The 16,488-nt window shown below is 45.5% G+C and overlaps 1 long non-coding RNA gene across 1 annotated transcript; it reads left to right on the top strand.

Moving 5' to 3' along the window:
* Nucleotides 1–12,667: 12,667 nt before the first annotated feature.
* LOC124901578 (uncharacterized) lies at nucleotides 12,668–16,277 on the top strand. Its single transcript, XR_007060197.1, has 2 exons — nucleotides 12,668–13,088; nucleotides 16,037–16,277. It is a non-coding gene; the product is annotated as an uncharacterized LOC124901578 (long non-coding RNA).
* Nucleotides 16,278–16,488: the final 211 nt, after the last annotated feature.

Below are 16,488 nucleotides of genomic sequence, written 5' to 3'. Positions count from 1 at the left end.
ATTCTACTTCCCAGAACTTTACTCCTCTGGGACTCACTTCCTCTATGTCATCATTGATGAGGAACAATTGGAAAGAGTTTGTGTGTTCTCACAACCCACACTAGTAGGAAGACCAAGGCGGTAAAAAACTTTTAAGAAAAAAAGAAGAAATTAGGAGAATGCTCTGTAAGCATAACCAGTCTATTTTCTAAGAGTCCTTGGTATCCCCATCTTAATCTCCCTGGGAGGTGAAATTGACTACTGTAATGTAATAAGAGGAAGTTTTGTCTTTGCTGTCAAGAAGCAGTTAAACTTATAAAATCTCATCTTTCCTTGTAGTATTGAAGAGTAATGTCTTGTAGATGTTTCCCACTGTAAAGCATTATATGAAGCAGCTGGTGCAACCGTCCCAATTTAAGTAAAAGAGTGAGAATTCACCAGATTGCACCCTAGAGAAAACCATATGTCATTGGTGGCGTTTCAAGACTCCTGGCTGGGTTGTAGGGTACACAGAACTGCTTTTATTTCTCCTCGTAAGCAAGTTCCAAGTTCGTAAATTTCCCTGAACTGTCACTGGTATGGTAATGAGAACTTTCAGGCCCACATAGCTGATATCTACTCACACTTCGAAAATCCGATTTGAAATATGACACTGAAAATCTTAAGCCTTCGCTCAAGCTCTCCTTGATCATGAATATAGATCAGGCTACTCAGTGTATGAGATGGAATTGTCTAGAGCCTTAAAAAAAAGAGAAAGGAAACTTGTGATGTTTTTCCTCTTACCATAACCCGTGGCCCTGTGGTGCCTATAGCAGAGATATAATGATCAGTACATGATTAGATGTAAATATTGATTCCTTGAGTAATCCATGCAATTGGATGAAAAAACTTATTCACATATTAGTTATTCTTTGAAAACTGATCTTAGAAATGGGGTTCTTAGAAATGATTGCCTTGCTGTTACAGAGGAAGGAAGGAGAGTAACATTTGTAGATCAACTGGTTGCCAAGCATGTGCAGACACTGCTGAGCACTTCCACAAGCATCAGTGCATGTAACTACTGTTATTAATATCTCTGATGCAAAGATAAGGGAACTGGCTGGGCGTGGTGGCTCATGCCTGTAATCCCAACACTTTGGGAGGCTGAGGTGGGTGGATCACCTGAGGTCAGGAGTTTGAGACCAGCCTGGCCAACATGGTGAAACCCCGTCTCTACTAAAAATACAAAAGTTAGTTGGGCATGGTGTTGCGTGCCTGTAGTCCCAGCTGCTCTGGAGGTTGAGGCAGGAGAATCACTTGAACCCAGGAGGTGGAGGTCGCAGTGAGCTGAGATTGCACCACTGCCCTCCAGCCTGGGCAACAGAGCATGACCCTGTCTCAAAAACAAAACAAACAACAAACAAACAAAGATAAGGGACTAAGAGCCAAAGCAGATATGCAGGAAAACTGGCTCAGGTATCCTGACTCCACTGTACGTTGGAGATGATGACAGGCATAAAGGTTGTTGGCATCCGTGACAGTCAACTTCAGTTTCTTACCCAAAGGACATATGGTGGAATCCCTGCTATATAGTCAGATGCCATGGAGAGTAGGCAGAGAGAGGAGTGAATAAGAGAACTATCAGAGAAATAGTGAAGGGAGGAGTGAGGGCTGGGGTGTCCTACACTTTTCCAGAATGAGGCAGGATATGGGATCTTTGCTAAATTGGAAACTCATTGAAATGCTCCTAGATTTTCCCAACATGAATATAGCACAGTTGGGCTTTCCCCAGAGGTATATCCTAAGGCAAGTTCAAGTTTATTTGGAAAAACAATGGGAGGGAAGGAGAAGGCAAAACAGTCAATACAGGGTCCATTATCAAGCAACGTGCCATGTGGATACCTGAAGTTCATGCCCCCTGGAGAACTCTGCCACTGTGGAACACGCACCTCAGTGTTACCCTACCCAATGGATGGGGGAGCTGGGACATTTGTACATCAGGTGCCGTTGGCCATCATTTGGGGTTATATTTGGAGGGCATTGATTCTCTGGCTATCTGGCCTTTCACAGGAAAGAGATACAGGACACACCACAGTGGTAATTACTGCGGAGACCCAGCAAGGGCACCCACAAGGTTAACGATTGATTCATCCAGAACTCCACCTTTTTTTTTTTGAGACGGAGTTTTGCTCTTGTTGCCCAGGCTGGAGTGAAATGGCGTGATCTTGGCTCACTGCAACCTCCGTCTCCTGGGTTCAAGCTATTCTCCTGCCTCAGCCTCCCAAGTAGCTGGGATTACAGACACCCGCCACCACACCCAGCTAATTTTTGTATTTTTAGTAGAGACAGGGTTTCACCAGGTTGGCCAGGCTGGTCTTGAACGCCCAGCCTCAGGTAATCCACCCACCTCGACCTCCCAAAGTCCTGGAATTACAGGTGTGAGCCACTGTGCCCAGCCCAGAACTCCACCTGAATTAGGACACATTGCTTAGCATCTACTCGATACTGGAAAGGAATGAGCAAATCTTGACCCTTTGACTTAAAGGAACTAATCACATTTTCATACTGTCTCATGCTTCTCCATGAAGTGTACTGTTGGCTCGCAGTCTTAAAAATATCCCTTTAACTTCCACTTGATGGAGTAGACGTGCTTTTCCCTATTCATCTTGACAATTACAATGAAAAACCCAGGATGTCAAATGCAAGACAGCCGTAAGACAACAAGGTGACTGCACTTAATGCTAGTAAACCATTTAAAAATGGTTGAAATGGCTTGGGGCTAGGAGTTTGAGACCAGCCTGAGCAACATAGCAAGACCTCTACAACAGATTTAAAATATTAGCCAGATGTGGTTGTGTGCACCTGTAATCCCAGCTGCTTGGGAGGCTGAGGTGGGAGGATTGCTTGAGCCCAGGAATTTGAGGCTACAGTGAGCTATGATTGTGCCACTGCACTGCAGCATGGACAAAAGCATGAGACACCATCTCTGAAACAAACAAAAGCCAAAAAACAAAAACAAAAAGAAAGTAATTGAAATAGGCAACTTTTATATTATGTTTATTTTGCCACAAACAAACAAACAACGACAACAAAACAAAAAACAAACATAAGAAGACTCTGAAAGGGGGAGAGAAGAAGGCAGACTGGCCAGGGACTCCCAGACACAAAGAATGACATGGTGGGCTGGGCGTGGTGGCTCACGCCTGTAATCCCAGCACTTTGGGAGGCCGAGGCGGGTGGATCATGAGGTCAGCAGATCGAGACGATGCTGGCCAACATGGTGAAATCCCGTCTCTACTAAAATACAAAAAAATTAGCTGGGCGTGGAGGTGGCGGCCTGTAGTCCCAGCTACTCAGGAGGCTGAGGCAGGAGAATTGCTTGAACCCAGGAGGCAGAGGTTGCAGTGAGCCGAGATCTCCAGCCTGGCAACGGAGTGAGACTCTGTCTCCAAAAAAAAAAAAAAAAAAAAAAGAATGACTTGATGGTCAGTTCCCTACATTTTCTTCTTCTTTTTTTTTTTCTATTTCTGATTGGGTATCAGAGGGGCCAGCAACAGGAAATGCCAATAGCTACAGAATTTTTAAAGCCTGAATACAAGTCTGTTCTCTAGCCAGGGGACCAGGAAAGGAGAAGTCTGTCAAGACAGAAAACTTTCAGACAGTAATCACTCTACCCCAGCCCAATAACCACAGAACATAGTGTGTTCCCCTATGTCCACTCTGCCAGCAAGGCTTGAGTGGGGAGCCTAGACTCCCATCCTTACCAGGCTGTAATGACAGGACCCATATCCCACTGAATGATGTCAGCAAAGGCGTAGAGTGAAACCAGGACATTCGTCCCCACTGAGTAGCAACAACATGTCCCTCTTCCACCATGCTGGGTCAGTAGAAACCACGCAGGGGGCCTGGATCTTCATCTCCACCCAGGAGCAACAGGACACCCTCTCTTCCCCTTTCTTGCTGGGGTTTTAACCACATCAGACCAATCTGGTTCAACTTTGTGTGTGTGTGTGTGGAGATGGGGGTCTCATTATGTTGCCTAGGCTAGTCTTGAACTCCTGAACATAAGTGATCCTCCTGCCTCAACCTCAAAGTGCTGGGATTACAGGCATGCGCCACCATGCTGGCCCTGGTTCAACATCCATGTAACAAACTTGTGAGTTGTTTTTCAGTTGCCATGGGGCCCAAGGTTGAAGGTCACATAACCTGAGCATGCCCAGATGAACCAAGGGTGCAGCCACAAGGGTACCCTAAGTGGTTGGAAGGAGAAGCGTGGACTGGATTAAGAAGCAGACCCCAAGGCCGGGCACAGTGGTTCACGCCTGTAATCCCAGCACTTTGGGAGGCCAAAGCGGGTGGATCATGAGTTCTGGAGATCGAGACTATCCTGGCTAACATGGTGAAACCCCGTCTCTACTAAAAATACAAAAAATTAGCCAGGTGTGGTGGCGGGTGCCTGTAGTCCCAGCTACTAGGGAGGCTGAGGCAGGAGAATGGGGTGAACCTGGGACGCGGAGCTTGCAGTGAGCTGAGATCACGCCTATGCACTCCAGCCTGGGGGACAGAGCGAGACTCCAAGACTCCGTCCCAAAAAAAAAAAAAAAAGAAGCAGACACCACATGGCAGGATCAAGGATCCAATGAGATTGAGCCCTGGCATCACCCTCTGGCAGGATCCAATCAGATCACACCTCATTGCCCTATGCTTATAAAGCCCAACCCAGCCCCCAGCTCAGGGAGACAGATTGGAGCATTTCCTCCCATTCCTTGCTGGTCAACTCAAATAAAGCTTTTCTATTTTTTTTTTTCTTTGAGACGGAGTTTTGCTCTTGTACCTTAGGCTGGAGTGCAATGGCAGGACCTCAGCTCACTGCAACCTCCACCTCCCAGGTTCAAGCGATTCTCCTGTCTAAGTCTCCTGAGTAGCTAGGATTACAGGTGCCCACCACCACGCCCAGCTAATTTTGTATTTTTAGTAGAGACGGGGTTTCACCAGGTTGGCCAGGCTGGTCTCAAACTCCTGACCTCAGGTGATCCACCGCTTCGGCCTCCCAAAGTGCTGGGATTACAGGCGTGAGCCACTGTGCCCGGCCAGCTTTTCTCTTCTCAAAAGCTGGTGCCATGGTATTGGCCTCTGTGCACATTGGGCAGCAAGCACATCAATTGCTTGGTAATCGGCTGGTGTCAGAGGAGGCCTATTAGGAGTCAGAGCCTTCACTACTGCCCAGCGGTAATGAGGTCATCCCTCTGCTTGTCCATGGTGGCCACACAGGGAACAGTCATGGTGAACCTTTGCCCCTCTCAGCTAGAAAGGTGTTGTTAGAGGAGGTAAAGGGTCGGAAATAGACAGGCAAAGGAGCTCCTGGGAAAAAACGTCTTGGAGATGCTGCCCTTTGACAGTCAGAGAAAAAGATGAAGGCTGCACTGGCTACTTCCGGCCTTGTGGTTGGGCTCTTCCGGCTCCGACGGGGTTTATCGAGCCCTAGTCAGAGATAACCACGGTAGGGACTTCCCGTGCTGATGAGCATGCCCACTCCTCCAAAACCTTGCCCGAGGATATCCTGTTGCTCATTATGATAATAAAAAGCTCATCCTTGGGTGGAGACTTTGCATGCATATGAGACATGTGATGTGTGGACCAGCATGCACAACCACAGAGTGTGCAAACCCAAGGTGACTACCCAAAACATGATTGCAAGTGACGCCCCCTCCTGCCCCTGTAGGAAAAATCATGTAAGATTCTCTAAAGACAGTCCCCCAGCAGCCCGCTCTGTCTCATCTCTTTCAGAGTGCACCATCCCTTTAAGTAAATGCTGCTACTGCTATGTTTCCAGCCTGACCAGCCTGGAGCTGTTTTCCAGACGGGTCAGCCTGCTTCCCTCTTGGGGTGTGCTTGTATCTCCTTAATAAACCTTTTGAGGTTGGGTACAGTGCTTACGCCTATAATCCCAGCATAATGGGAGGCCAAGGTGGGCGGATCACTTGAGGTCAGGAGTTCAATACCAACCTGGCCAACATGGTGAAACCCTGTCTCTACCAAAAATACAAAACTTAGCCAGGCATGGTGGTGCATGCCTGTAATCCCAGCTACTCGGGAGGCTGAGGCAGGAGAATCACTTCAACCTGGGAGGTGGAGGCTGCGGTGAGATGAGATCACACCACTGCACTCCAGCCTGGGCAATTGAGCGAGACTCTGTCTCAAAACAAAAACAAAAGCAAGACCTTTGCTTGGATTACGAATTGTCTCTTGGCTGAATTCTTTCTCCCACATTAGGCAAGAACTGAGGATTCCTGCACTTCCCAGTGACAGTATCAGTAGAGCCCAGGGGTGATCCTGAACTCCCACCCTGCCCAGCAGTAGTGAGAAGTCCCTCCCCACGTAGTGCCAATGACAGCTGAGGCAGGGACGGGACTTCCACTCCCACCTGGTGGTAAGAGAGTGCTGCCCCCTTCACCCACCAGAGCTGTGTCAGAGGAGGCCTGCCCAAACATAAGATTTAAGTAAGAGCTACAGTCACCTGATACAATACTCAGAATGTCCAGGTTTCAAGATAAATCACTTGTCATGCCAAGAACCAGGAATATCTCAGCTTGAATGAGAAAAAGCAACCAAAAGACACCAATGCTGAGATAAAATAGATGTCAGAATGATCTCACCAGGATTGAAAAGCAGGCATCATAAAAATGCTTCAGTGAGAAATCATAAACATGCTCAAGCCAAAAGATAAAAGGGGAGGGCGTCTCAGCAGAGAAATGGATAATGTAAAGAAAAATATAATAATTAAAAGAAAAAAACTCAATGGATGGGCTCAAGAGCAGAATAAAGAAGACAGAGGGAAGAATCAGTGAACTTTAAGATAAAACAGTAGAAATGAACTACTCTGCAAACAGAGAAAATAAACTTAAAAAAATGAGAAAGGGCAGCACTCCAGGGATCTGTGGGGCTATAGCCAAGGAAATAATATTCAAATCCTTGGATTACCAGAAGGAGAGGTGGAAGAGAGAGTGCAGCTGAGAAATTATTTGAAGGCATAATGGCTGAAAAATCCCCACATTTGCTAAAAAAGCACATGTGTACAGATTCAAGAGGCTGAATAGATCTTAGGCAGGATAAATCCAAAGACACATCATAGTCAAACTTGTGAAAACAAAAGAAAAGAAAAGCTCTTGAAAGAAGCCAGAGAGAAATGACACCTTATCGTAGGGGAAAAAGTTTTTTGAATGTCAGTGAATTTCTCGTCAGAAACAAACAAAACTCTTATTTGATTTTATTTTTATAACAGTGAACAAGCAACTCAATGGGGAGAAAAACAGTCTTTTCAAAAAGCGAATCTTAACCTAAACATTGGACCTTACACAAAAATTAACCCCAAATGGATAATGAACTTAAATGTAAATATAAAACTATAAAATGCTGAAAAGGAAACACAGGAAAAAGTCTTCAGAAACTTGAGCTTGATGATGAGTTCTTAGACATGGCACCAGAGGCACGATCTATAAAAGAAAAATATCACGAACTGAATTTCATTAAAATTAAGAACATTTGTTCTATGAAAGACCATGTGAGGAGGATGAAAAGACAAGTTACGAGCTAGAAGAAAATATGTACAAACCATATATCAGGAAAAAGACTCATATCTGCAAATATTATAGGACTCTCAAAACTCAACAGCAAAACAAATTAAACAATCCATTTAGAAAATGAACCAAAGATATGAACAAACATCTCACCAAAGGGTTTATATGGGTGGCAAATAAGCACATGAAAAGATGCTCAATGTCACCAGCTGTTAGGGAGATGCAAATCTGTGGTCATAATGAGATATCAGTACACAATTATCTGAAGAGCTAAATTTAAAAAACTGACAACACCAAGTGATGGTGAGGACATGGAGCAACTGGAACTCTCGTATGTTGCTTTGTGGTACCTGTAAAATGATACAGGCACTCTGGAAAATTGGCACACTAAACATATGCTTAGTATATGGTTCAGCAATTGTACTCCTGGGCATTTATCCCAGAAAAATGAAAAGTTGTGTCTACTTGAAGCTTGTAATCAAATGTTCATAGCAGTATTATTTGTAATAGTCCTGTATTAAGCCATTCTTGTGTTGTTTTAAGAAAAACCTGAGACTGGGTAATTTATAAAGAAAAGAGGTTTAATTGGCTCATGTTTCTGCAGCCTGTATAGGAAGCTTGGTGCTGGCATCTGCTCAGCTTCTGGGAAGGCCTCAGGAAGCTTCCAATCATGGCGGGCAGTGAAGGGAGAGTACGCACGTCACACGGCCAGAGCAAGAGAGAGAGAGAGTACTGGGGAAAGGTGCCATACACTTTTCAATGACCAGATCTAGTGAGAATTCACTATCACAAATATAGCACCAAACCATGAGGGATCCGCCCCCATGATCCAGTACCCTCCCACCAGGCCCCACCTCCAGCATTGGGGATTAGAATTCAACATCAGATTTGGTGGGGACAAATATCTAAAATATATCAAGCCCCAAACTAGAAGCAACCAAAATGTCCCTCAATAGGTGAATGGTTAATTGGTGTTTTGTGGTGCATCCATCCCATGGAATACTGCTCCCTACTAAAAGAAATAAACTTTTTTTTTTCTTTTTGAGACAGAGTTTCACTCTTGTTGCCCAGGCTGGAGTGCAATGGCACAATCTCAGCTTACTGCAACCTCCACCTTCTGGGTTCAAGCAATTCTCCTGACTCAGCCTCCCGAGTAGCTGGGACTACAGGCACCCAGCATCATGACCAGCTAATTTTTGTATTTTTGGTAGAGACAAGGTTTTACCATGTTGGCCAGGCTGGTCTCAAACTCCTGACCTCAGGTGATCAACCTGCCTCGGCCTCCCAAAGTGTTGGGATTACAGGTGTGAGTCACTGCACCTGGCCAGAAATAAACTATTGACACAGGCAACAACTTGGCTGGATCTCATGGGCATTATGATGAGTGAAAAAGCCAGTCCCAAAAGGTCACATCCTGTATAATTCCATTTCTATAATATTCTCAAAATGCCAAAATCATAAAGATGGAGAATAAATTAGTGGTTGCTGGCATTAGGGATGATGGAGGCTGAGGAGTGGCTAGAAAGGGGTGGAATGACGCAGATCTTTGTCAGGATAGATCCGTTCTGTGTCTCGATTATAGTGGTGATTATACAAACCTACATGTGATAAGATGACATGGAAGTGCTTGCACATGTTGTACCAATGTCAACTCCTGTTTTTCTGTATTCTGCTATAATTAAGATGTCACTGGGTGGGTGCTGTGGCTCACGCTTGTAATCTCAGCACTTTGGGAGGCTGAGGCGGACGGATCATGAGGTCAGAAGTTTGCGACCAGCCTGGCCAACATGGTGAAACCCTGTCTCTACTAAAAATACAATAAAACAAATTAGCTGGGTGTGGTGGCGGGCACCTGTAATCCCAGCTACTCAGGAGGCTGAGGCAGGAGAATTGCTTGAACCTGGGAGGCGGAGGTTGCAGTGAGCTGAGATCACACCACTGCACTCCAGCCTGGGTGACAGAGTGAGACTCCATCTCACACAAAAAAAAAAAAAAAAAAAAAAAAAAAGAAGAAGAAAAAGAAAAAAAAAAAAAGAAGATGTCACCATTGGTGGAAACTGGTTGACGTTTTCGTGAGACCTCTCTGCACTCCCTTTACAACATCTTGTGAATCTATAATTATTTTAAAATAAAAAATATTTTAAAGAGTGTCTAACTCCTATGGTTTCTGAAATAATCAAATTAGATAATAACTAAAAGGTTTAGAAGAGTACCTGAAACCTAATACACACTCAACATTAAAAATGGAAAAACACTGTCTCATAAAATGAGTCCCATAATATATTCTTCAGATTTTAAAGTCATTCATGTAAATGTTGTAATTTTTTTTGGTGGTGGTGGAGGTGTTATTGGTTGTTTTTGTAAGTCTGGAAATATTTTCCAGTGAATTTATCAGGATTAGTTTTTTCCTTTGGGTGAAATGTTTTGAATAATTGCAAATTTATGCCATGAAATTGCAGGAACTATAGAACATGACTGGGGAATTTGGAGCTGATGTAAGCAAGAAACTGTGGATGCTGCACACCACCTCAGGTATATCCTAGATTTTGGAAAAGTTTCCTTTTACAGTTTGGAGACCATATATTGCTAGAATTTCATTATGAGTGACAGTCTATGAAAGTGCAGCTCAGTTGGCATGGGGAGTTGTGAATGACAAAGCTCTGGCTGTGCAATTATAAAGGGGCCTAATGAAATGATAATGGGAAAATATCTAATGGAATCTGTGTGATGGGCCACTGGTACATGGGAGAATGCTCATTAATTTGGATGGGTTAAGAGATACAGAGGATATGAAAAGAACATCATGTACCTGGGAGTATGTATCAAACATAGGCTTGAGCCTGTAAGAATGGTGTCAAGATGACCGAGGGTCGGAATCGGTGGAGGTGCACAAATGCTAAACATGATGGATTTTGAAAGCTAAGTCAGGAGCAAAAAGACCAAGAGTTATCGACATTCTTTGGGGCAAAATATCAAAATGTTGTCTGTTTTAGTTGGGATTTTCCAGGGAGACAGAACCAATCAGATATAGAGGGAGAGACATGGAAGGAGATGCATTAGGATAATTGGCTCCCTCAATTATGGAGGCTGGCAAGTCCCATGACAGGCTCTTTGCAATCTGGAGCCCCTGGGATGCTGGTGGTGTGACTCAGCCCAAGTCCACATCCTCAGAGACAAGAAGGTGATGGTGTAATGCTCAGTTCAAGGCCAAAGGTCTAAGAGCCCAGGGGCTGTTTGTCCATGTCGTGGAGTCTAAAAGTCAGAGAGTCAAAGCTTGGAGTTCTGATGCCTCTGGACCAGAGAAGAGGATCTCCCAGCTCTGGAAGAGAGAGCAATAATTTGCCCTTACATGTGGGCCCCCAGTGGATTAGATGGTGCCTGCCCACACTGAGGGCAGATCTTCCCCACTCAGTCCACCCATTCACAGGCCAATTGCCTCCAGAAACCGTCGCAGACACACCTGGGGCAGCCCAATCATTCCAATCAAATGCCAAACTGCCCAGGCTTCGCTTTCAGGAGAAGAGGGAGGGTCTCTGTGCCTGGAGAAGCACTCAGAAGAATTCATGCCATGATTGGGAGTACAGAGTGCTTTACCAGCTAACTGGGTATCCTTTAATTCAGCTAGTTGACACCCCAAGTCATCCATCACAAGAACAAGATCAACATGGAACAAGGGTATTTTGTTTTGTTTTTTTTTTTTAGCAAAAAGAGAAGACTTAAGGAACAAGAATTCGTGTATAGCGGTGACCCCCAACCCATCCAGGGAAATTCGCATGTATTTTCTCCTGTAATCTGCATGAAAACCTTCAGGTGGATATTATCTTCATGTTACACACAAAGAGAACATTGTCCAAAGATAATAACTTTCCCAGGAGCACACACACACACACACACACACACACACACACACACACACAGCCAGAGCATGCCAGCATGGGGATCACACCCCACATCTTCAAGTTCATGCCTCCATTTCTTTTTCTTTCCCTACCCTATGGTGTCCAGCAAGAGAGAGATTTTCCATCTGGAAGGAAAAGAAAACTCAGAACAAAACTGAATCTCAAGATAGTCCGGGAGATTACAAAAGAAAAAAATTGCGTGTCTAGTTATTGAAACGTAAAGACTCTGAGCTCAGAAAGGTGAGTGAGGGGCCCTGTGGATATATTCAGACAAGTAGTCAATCACAGAGAAGCTTGAGCAAAGGCCTTGAGATGGCCCAGAGTGTTCCAAGACCAACCAGAGCACAAGTGGTAAGAGATGACTGAGGTCAACGAGCGTCTTGTAAAATGTTGACTCCATCTTCATGGAGGACTCTGTTGGAACCGACCCTAAAGGGCAGGTGCCAGCTGGAAGGACAGTTAGGACATCAGTGAAGTGGAGGAAGCTGGATTCTGTGTCTGAGATTGCTGGGAGAGGACTGGGCTGGAGACATACTTGTAGCACCATCAGCACGTAGATGGGACTTGAAGCTACAAGTCTGGATGAGGTCGCCAAGGGACGGGGCGTAGGTAGAGAGGAGATTATGGCCTCCGGAGTTAGAAAGTGAGGAGAAGGGGAGGAGGAAGAAGCAAAGGGGATGGAGAAGGCACAGCTGGGGAGGCGGCAGGAAAACAGAGAGGCTTTGGTGTCCTGGAAGCCAAATGAAGAAAATGACTCAATGAGACGGAAGCGATCGGCTGTGTGGAACGCTGCCACTAGAACAAATCAGATGAGAGCTGAAGACTGAGCATTGGGTTTGACAGCATGGAAGGCCTGGTGAAATTGACAAAGGGTGATTGAGTTGGAACGGTGGCTATAAAGGCCTGATTAGAGTCAGCTTGAAGGATCTGGCAGGAGGGGCGCTGGCAGACAGTCCAGAAGCAATATCAGGATCCGCGGGTGACGCTTAAGAGGAAAAGCTCCGGGCAAGTGGAGCCGCCATAGTGGAGTCTTAGCAACGTTGGACCTGGCCCAACAGAAACCGGATGCGTGTTTATCAGGAACATTACGGTAGAGATATCTGCAGCGCGTGGACGTTTGAATGTGATGATTTATTAGGCCATTTACAGCTTTGAGATTCTATCATTCACTTTGCCACGGGTTTTATGAAAGTCAGTTATTGTGGTCATAGAACCCCAGGGAGCCAATGCACCTTGCCCCAGAGATAACGGCGAGGCAGACGGACGCTCCTGCACAGCCTCTGTTTCCATCGTGCCTTCTTTTCCTTTTTACAGTTGTACTTACATTCCTGGCTCCTCGTCTTAAAATGTAGAATGTAAACCAACTCCCAGAGAAGTACTGGGATTCTTCATTGGATCAATAAGCAGAATTGAAAGAAAATCGTCAAAAAGATGCCTGCACAGTCGGCAGAGCTCCCCGGTGGAGAGGAAACAAATGTTCTTTAATGAATAATGAGAATGAAACTCATTCCTAAATCAGGCTGCCCTTGGTGTTCACATGCAGAGTACAAAGGGCCTCAAAAACTTTGTTTAAATGAAAGGAATATTTCGAGTAGTGCATGAGGGGCACCCTTCAGGCGGCAAGACAAGTCACGCTCTCACTTTCAATTAGAAGGTAACTTGATTTTTGAAGAAAATCCTCGGTGCTCAGTACAGCTCAGTATAGCTTTTCTCAAATATTATTTTAGATTTTGGCTACAGTTATTCACATTTCTGACATTACTTTCGACCTCATTATGTACTTAAATTTTTTTTTTTTTTTTGAGACAGGGTCTCACTCTGTTGCCCAGGCTGGAGTGCAGTCGTGCAATCACAACTTACTATAGTCTCAACCTTCCTGGCTCAAGCGAGCCTCCCATCTCAGCCTCCTGAGTACCTGGGACTGCAGGTGTGTGCCATTATGCCTGGCTAATTTTAATTTTTTTTTTTTTGTAGAGGTGGGGTCTCACTGTGTTGCCCAGGCTAGTCTTGAACTCCTGGCCTCAAGCAATTCTCCTGTATCAGCATCCCAAAGTGCTGGGATTACAGACATGAGCCCAGTGCCTGGCCCTATTATGCACTTTTATTTTCCTTAAAGCATATATCCCAATTTAAAATGAGCCTATGCACTTAATTGCATATGTGTCTATTGTCCCTCTACCCTCCCTAAAATGTAAGTTCTCCCTAAAAGCAGTTAGTATGTCAGAAGAATCAGTGCACCCATGGAAATGAGGTAGGAGACGGGGCTTGACTTGACTCCGGACCACACTGAAGACTGGCAGAAACAGGGAAGAGAGGAAAGCGCCTCTTTCGTCTCACAAGACACTCCCACTGGTGCCATGACAGTTCTCCATTGCCATAGCAACACCTGGAAGTTACCGCCCTTTTTCTAGAAATTTCTGAAGAACCCCTTAATTTGTATGTAATTAAACATGAGAATAAATATGATGGCAGAACTGCCTCGGGGCTGCTGCTCTCCACACACTGCCTATGGGGGTAACCCTACTGTGCAGAAACAGTCACTGGCCTGTACACTGCTGCCTCAAACCAGCTGTTTTCTTTTCTTTCTTTCTTTTTTGAGACAGGGTCTCACTCTGTCACCCAGGCTGGAATGTAGTGGCATGATCATGGCTCACTGCAGCCTCGACCTCTCCAGGCTCAGATGATCCTCCTACCTTAGCCTCCCTAGTGGCTGGGACTACAGGCATGCACCACCATGCCCAGCTAATTTTTCTATTTTTTTTTTTTTTTTTTGTAGAGATGGGGTTTCTCCATGTTGCCCAGGCTGGTTTTGAACTCTGGGGCTCGAGTGATCTTCCCACCTTGGCCTCCCAAAGTGCTGGGACTATAGGCATGAACCACCTTGCCTGGCCAATAAAGCTATTTTCTTCTAGCACTGGCTCACCCTTGAATTCCTTCTTGGGTGAAGCCAACTATCTTCCTGAGTGGAGCCCCCATTTTTGAGCTCATCTGCCCCTGCAACAGAAGGATTTCTTTCTTTCTTTTTTTTTTTTTGAGACGGAGTCTCGCTCTGTCGCCCAGGCTAGAGTGCAGTGGCACTATCTCGGCTGACTGCAACCTCCGCCTCCTGGATTCAAGTGATTCTCCTGCCTCAGCCTCCCGAGTAGCTGGGACTACAGGTGTGCACCACCACGCCTGGCTAATTGTATTTTTAGTAGAGACGGGGTTTCACCATGTTAGCCAGGATGGTCTCGATCTGCTGACCTCGTGATCCACCCGCCTCAGCCTCCCCAAGTGCTGGGATTACAGGCCTGAGCCACTGCGCCTGGCCCAGAAGGACTTCTTAAATGCCAACACAGGTTCCTGGCCAGACAAGGCAATGAGCAGTGGTTAGAAATAACAGTAATTAAAACCCCACAATCAGTTTTTAATTGATGCCAACTGTCACTCTCTTTTTTCCCCCGGGACCTGTATATGAAAATCTTTACCAGTTTCCCTCTTTGATTTACATTTCTGGCAGCAGCTCAAATAGACCAAACTCTTCTATTTAAGAGATGGATATGGGCCAGGTGTGGTGACTTACACTTGTCATCCTAGCACTTTGGGAGGCCAAGGTGGGAGGATCGCTTGAGCCCAGGAGTTTGAGACCAGCTTGGGCAACGTGGTGAAACTCAGTCTCTACTAAAAATAAAAAAATTAGCTGGGCATGGTGGTATATGCTTGTCATCCCACTACTTGAGAGGCTGAGTCAGGAGGATTGATTGAGCCCATGAGGTTGAGGCCGCAGTGAGCTATAATCGTGACACTACACTCCAGCCTGGGTGGCAGAGCGAGACCCTGTCTCAAAAAAATAAAAAATGGATATGCTTGTATTCCACAGGGAAAATGAAGAGTTAGCTAATACTAGACACAGGATCAGAAATAGAGGATGCAAGGGTAAACTGGGACCATAGCTTCCAGGATGCTGACGAAAAGTGGGCTCAAAGAGAACAGTAAGAATAGAGGTGAATGTGGCCGGGTGTGGTGGCTCATGCCTGTAATCCCAGCACTTTGGGAGGCCGAGGTGGGAGGATCACGAGGTCAAGAGATCGAGACCATCCTGGCCAACATGGTGAAACCCCATCTTTACTAAAAACACAAACATTAGCTGGGTGTGGTGGTGGGCACCTGTAGTCCCAGCTACTCGGGAGGCTGAGGCAGAAGAATTGCTTGAACCCAGGAGGCAGAAGTTGTAGTGAACCGAGATCATGCCACTGCACTCCAGCCTGGTGACAGAGTGAGACTCTGTCTCAAAACAATAGAGGTGAATGTGTGTTGGGAAATATGTGTTGGGAAAGACAAAGACCATTAATATGCATTGCAGGCTCAAAAAGCCTTCTAGGCACAGGACCAACAGGGTACCCCAGACTCTCACCTTCCCATGTGTAGTACTGTAACAGTTAAACAGAAGAAGAACCAGTATAACTCACCCCATTTTTGTTTAAGGATCCTTTACCCTGCACGTAGGCTGGGATAATTTTAGAGCACTGAGATAATAATGCAAAAACAGCAATCAGTAGCTTTTGAAACTAACTCTGGGATGAAAGGAAAAGTGTATAAGCAGCTAACTAGGTTTTGTTAAAGATTTGCAGGAGCATTGTGAGCTGATCAAGGACAGAGAAGTTCCTGGCCTTTACAGATCCTCGTTGGCATACGGATATCTGCAGTCATCGGTCACCTCTTGATCCCAATTCCTTCCTTTTCCCCTCCTCTTAACATAAAAGGAGGCTGAACGTTTTACTGACTTAAGATGGTTTCTTAGGAAACTGGTCTGTCTTCTTGCTTTGCTGGCTCTCCAAATAAAGTCACTTTCCTTGCTTTCCAACTCCTTGTCTCTCAACTTACTGGCTATTATACAGTGAGCAGAGTGAGTTTGGACTTGGTTATAGTATACTGCATTTTCTGAAGATAGTCTCCACGCCTCCCACCCCACGTACCTCCCTTGCAGTGCGTTATTTTCGCCCTTCTGACCTAGTGGATGAATGTTCGTCTCCTGCGCTAGGACCTGGGCAGCCCCTGGTACTGTCTCCACCAAT

This window comes from Homo sapiens, chromosome 7 (genome assembly GCF_000001405.40).
Source record: "Homo sapiens chromosome 7, GRCh38.p14 Primary Assembly".
Classification (NCBI taxonomy): domain Eukaryota; kingdom Metazoa; phylum Chordata; class Mammalia; order Primates; family Hominidae; genus Homo; species Homo sapiens.
Note: the sequence above shows the minus strand (reverse complement) of the source record. Positions and strands in the feature narration are given on the sequence as shown.